Genomic DNA, 5029 nt, shown 5'->3' on the forward strand with positions numbered 1-5029 from the left:
GAGGGGCATGGTGGCAGAAAGAGCCCTAGTTGATGAGTCCAAAAATCCAGCTTCCCTTTTCCAGCTGTTGCTAGCTCTTGGTGTGACCCAGACAGAGTCACTTCACCCACTGATATGGTTTGGCTGTGTCCCCACCCAAATCTCATCTTGAATTGTAGCTCCCATAATTCCTACATGTTGTGGGAGGGACCCCGTGGGAGATAATTGAATCACGGGGACAGTTTCCCCCATACTGTTCTTGTGGTAGCGAATAAGTCACATGAGATCTGATGGCTTTATAAGGGGAAACACCTTTCACTTTGCTCTCATCTTCTCTCATCTGCCGCCATGTAAGACATGCCTTTACCTTCCACTATGATTGTGAGGCCTCCCCAGCCACGTGGAACTGTGAGTCTATTAAACCCCTTTTTCTTTATAAATTACCCAGTCTCAGGTATGTCTTTATCAGCAGTGTGAAAACATTAATACACCCACTTTGGGTCCTGGTTTTTGTAGCAGACGTTATCAGTGCCCCATGAATATCCCCTGTGTTTCTCAACCCAGGCACTATTGACACCAGGGGCTGGATAATCCTTTGTTGTGGCCCTTTCTTGTAAACTGGAGGATATTTAGCAGCATCTGTGGCCTCCAGATGCCAGCCAGACCCCTGTCCTTGCCATGTCCTCAACTTAGCTCCATGGCAAGGCTAAAACTACTTGAGTGCAATTGAGTGCTATCACCCTCTCAATGCATGGCCAGAGCCAAGCTCAGCAAGGGTTTGTTCACTCACCAATTGCCTGACCAGGGACAGCAAAGCAACAGGGGCAGGGAGTATCTGACCCAGTGACCCAGGGGAGCACCCAGTGGGTATAGCAAAGTGGAGAATGGAAACCAACACTTACTGAGAATTAAACTTACATTAGGCACATAACATATATTATCCAACTTCATCCTCAGGATAACTTTTTGGGACCTCTGTTTATAATCTCATCTGACAGACAGGGAGTAGTGACTCAGAGATATTAAGCAATTACCCAAGGTCACACAGATAGTAAGGCACTGAGCTGGGATTTGAACATTCATCTGTCTGGCTTCAAGATCCATGTTTGTTCAACTATGCCACCAATCGGTCTCAGAAAATCTGTACTTGTGATTGTGTGATATAAGTCAATGTGAGGTTAAGATTTATCAAGCTAAAGATAATTTCAAAGTCATCTAATCCAGCTACTCATTTTTACTGTTAGTAAACTGAAGCCCACAGCAGAAAAATGACTTGCCCAAGGTTGCGGCAGAGCCAAGACAAGCCCCTGGCTCTGGGTGACAGCATGGCCCAACCCCTTTCCTCTGTACCATTCTCCAGGGACAAGAAAGCTCCTGGGCTTGGGAAATCAGGGAAGCTCATCCAGAAGGGAAGAACTCTGGCCTAGTTAGAGAAGGGAAGGGAAGGGAATTTTCCAGGATATAAACTTTGTTGGGGCACAGAGAACAATACGACAACGCATGACTTTTTGGCATGCTGAGCACTTTGAAGTAAGAAAAATTGGAAGGCCTTAATAGCTGCTTAACTTTCTAACCTTCTCTTGTTTCTCTTCCCACAACCCCAGTGCAGAGGGAGGCTGTTTCTGAAATTTTCTTATCTGACTAAGGAAACTTATTTCCAAAAGAAATGCAATTGTCTTAAGACCCCCTCCTCAGGAATCTCATCAAATAACCAGGAAAGGTTAACCACTGGAGAAGAAACTAAAAGTCATCACCATGCCCAAACAGGATTTTTATCTATTCTTCTGAGGGCACCTCCAAAAGTCTACCTGGGAGCCTTTATCTGCATGATAAGATAATCTTTGCTGACAGTGAAGACCTGCCCCCCACCTTCCTGTCACCTCCCTCAGAGCTCAGATGAACTTTGCCTTAGGCCATTGTCCTTTGGGCTCATCCATTTTCCTCTGAAAATCATTCACCATCCCTCACAATCTCCTATGTTCCCCCCATTTCTTTCTACCCTATCAAGAGGGTATTGAAGCCTCAAGCATCTGGGCCTTCTTTGAATCTCACATTTTCAGGACTGTCATGTTTACATATACGTAAATAAATTTTTAAGCCTTTTTCTCCTATTAATCTGTCTACTGTCAGTCATTTCAGCAAAACATCAGAGAAGACAGAAAGAAGCTTTCCTTCTGTCCCATGACTTCATGCCAGGTAATAAGCATATGCTATCTCATTTAACCTTCTCACAGGCTCTTTGGATTGCCCCTATTGTACAATTGGTACAATTGTAGGAAAAGATGTGAAGGTTTTTGAAATGGGAAAGAAGAAAGAGAGAAAGAAAGAAAGAGAGAGAGAGAGAAAGAAAGAAAGAAAAAGAAAGAAAGAAAGAAAAGAATAAAGAAAGAGGAAAGAAGAGGGGCGGGAGGGAGGGAGGGAAGGAAGGAAGGAAAGAAGGAAGGAAGGAAGGAAGGAAAAGGCAGGAAGGAAAGAAAGAAGAGAGAGAAAAAGAAAGAAAAGAGAGAAAGAGAAAGAAAGAAGAGAGAAAGAGAAAGAAAGAAGAGAGAAAGAAAGGAAGGAAGGAAGGAAGGAAAGGACTTTTCTGGGTTATCTGTGCCTTTTTGTCTTTGAGCCATTTTACAACTCTATACATTGTAGAAAACTAATGATAATACAAATGATCTTGTCCACAGAGAAGAAAATAAATGTTGTTTGTTGTAATGCAATTGATTATCATCCTAAGGATACTGGCCAATTTTGCAATTATTTATGGATTCATTTCAAATTTCCTATATGTGTGTATGTGTGCTCTTTTGAATTCTCCTTTGGACTAGTTTTTAACATGTTACTGGTTCCTGCATTAATTAGTGAGTTAAATAAAATCTTTTTAACACTTATTCATCTTTGTATTAAAGTGACTTCTTTACCATATTAGACTATTCTCACGCTGCTGTAAAGGACTGCCTGAAACTATAAAGGTAATTTACAAAGGAAAGAAGTTTGATTGACTCACAGTTCTACATGGCTGGGGAGGCCTCAGGAAACTTACAATCATGGTGGAAGGGGAAGCAAGCACATCTTTCTTCACATGGCAGCAGCAAGGAGAAGTGCTGAGCAAAGGGGAGAAAAGTTCCTTATAAAACCATCAGATCTCATGAGAACTAACTCATTATCATGAGAAGAGGATGGGAGAAACCGCCCCCATGATTCAATTATCTCCACGTGGTCCCTCCCACAACATGTGGGGATTATGGGAACTATAATCAAGATGGGGTTTGGGTGCAGACACAATTATCCTTTAACATAGATGTCAAAACTTAAAATTTAAGCCAGGTGCAGTGGCTCATGCCTATACTCCAAGCTACTCAAGAAGCTGAGGCAAAAGGATTCCTTGAGCTCCAGAGTTTGAGGTCAACCTGGACAACATAGCGAGACTCCCTTAAAAAAAAAAAAAAAACCTTAGTATTTAAGTACCTTGCCCAGAGTCATAGCTTGTAAAAGCTACAGACTAAGTCCAAACCTCCTGTTCTTTCTGCTATCTGCTCCCATACCCAGCTTTACAGCTTTCCTTCTTATAGCCTCTGATTTGCAAGAGTTATGGCTGTGTGGTCATAACTCACTAATTAGGGAAGGAACCAGTAAGGTGTTAAAAGCTAGTTCAAAGGAGAATTTAAAACAGTCTTGGTTTCCTCAGTTTTCAACTGAGGACTCAAAGCTTAACCCTGCTTAGCTCAGTTATTCATGTAGAGTCCTGTATATGGACATATTTTGAGAAGAGTGAAAACCCCATGCATGAATAAGTGTATTATGATAAGGGAGGCCCACGGGGCTGTGGACTTGGAATTAGAAGATCTGAGGCCAAATTCTGGCTCCACCACTTAGCAGCCCTGTGACCTTCATGAAATCACTCAATCCTGTCTTGGACCCTCAGTCTCCTTTTGCTGTCAAACAGGGACCCCATCTGACAGTTATGCTGCCAATATCCCAGAGATATTTTAAGGACGGAGCAAGATAATGGATGTGCAAGTGCATTATAGACTGTAGAGCGCAATAGTGAGGTTAAGCATTAGTGTGATTTTTACTGTTGTTAATGTCCTCGCTCCAACTGCTGCAGAGGGGAGGGGTGAGGAAGTTTGAATGCAGGAGCACCTGGACCCTCTCCCTGTGGCCTACGTCTCTGGGGACAAACCAGGGCTGCTAAGAACAGGGGCTCCCACCTTGAGCTCCCTGCCCCTCACCCTTCTCTCCACAGCCCTCAGCCAAGCCAGCCGCAGTGGTCAAGTCCACCTTCATCTGGAGGTGTTTTCCCAATGAAACCTGGGCCAGGGATACATTTTCGCAGGTCCCGCAGACACTGCTAAGCCAGTACAGATGTTCCATGAGAAGACCATTCACAAAACCCTCACATCAGCTCATCCGTGCTTCCCAGTTACTCATAGCTGCATGATTTCCAAGCCCTGTCCACCTGGATATTTTCCTAAGATGACTTTTCCAGGTGTGAGCTCACTCAAGCCCAGCCAGCTGGGCAAGTGTGGAGTTCCTACCCAGTGCTGGTAAGAACAGTGGGAGGAGGCCTGGCCTCCCACCCTCACCCTCCATCAGGAGACAGCATCACAGAACTTCAGGGGCAAAGACAGGCAGAGGTGATCAAGGCCAAAGGACTCCAGCTCCAGCTGCTAGGTATCAAAATTACCTGCGGGAGCTTTCAAAAATTCAGATTAGGTCAGGCACGGTGACTCATGTCTGTAACCCAGCTCTCTGAGAGGCCAAGGTGGACGGATCACTTGAGGTCAGGAGTTCATGATCAGCCTGGCTAACATGGTGAAACCCCGTCTCTACTAAAAATACAAAAATTAGTTAGGTGTGGTGGTGCATGCCTGTAATTCCAGCTACTCGGGAGGCTGAGGCAGGAGAATCGCTTGAAACTGGGAGGTGGAGGTTGCAGTGAGCCGAGATCGCGCCACTGCACTCCAGCCTGGGCAAAAGAGTAAGACTCTGTCTCAAAAACAAAAACAAAAACAGAAAAAAACACAATCAGATTAGAGAGCCCACACCCTCTAAGTCAGAA

Source organism: Homo sapiens, chromosome 15 (assembly GCF_000001405.40).
Source record: "Homo sapiens chromosome 15, GRCh38.p14 Primary Assembly".
Taxonomy (NCBI): Eukaryota; Metazoa; Chordata; class Mammalia; order Primates; family Hominidae; genus Homo; species Homo sapiens.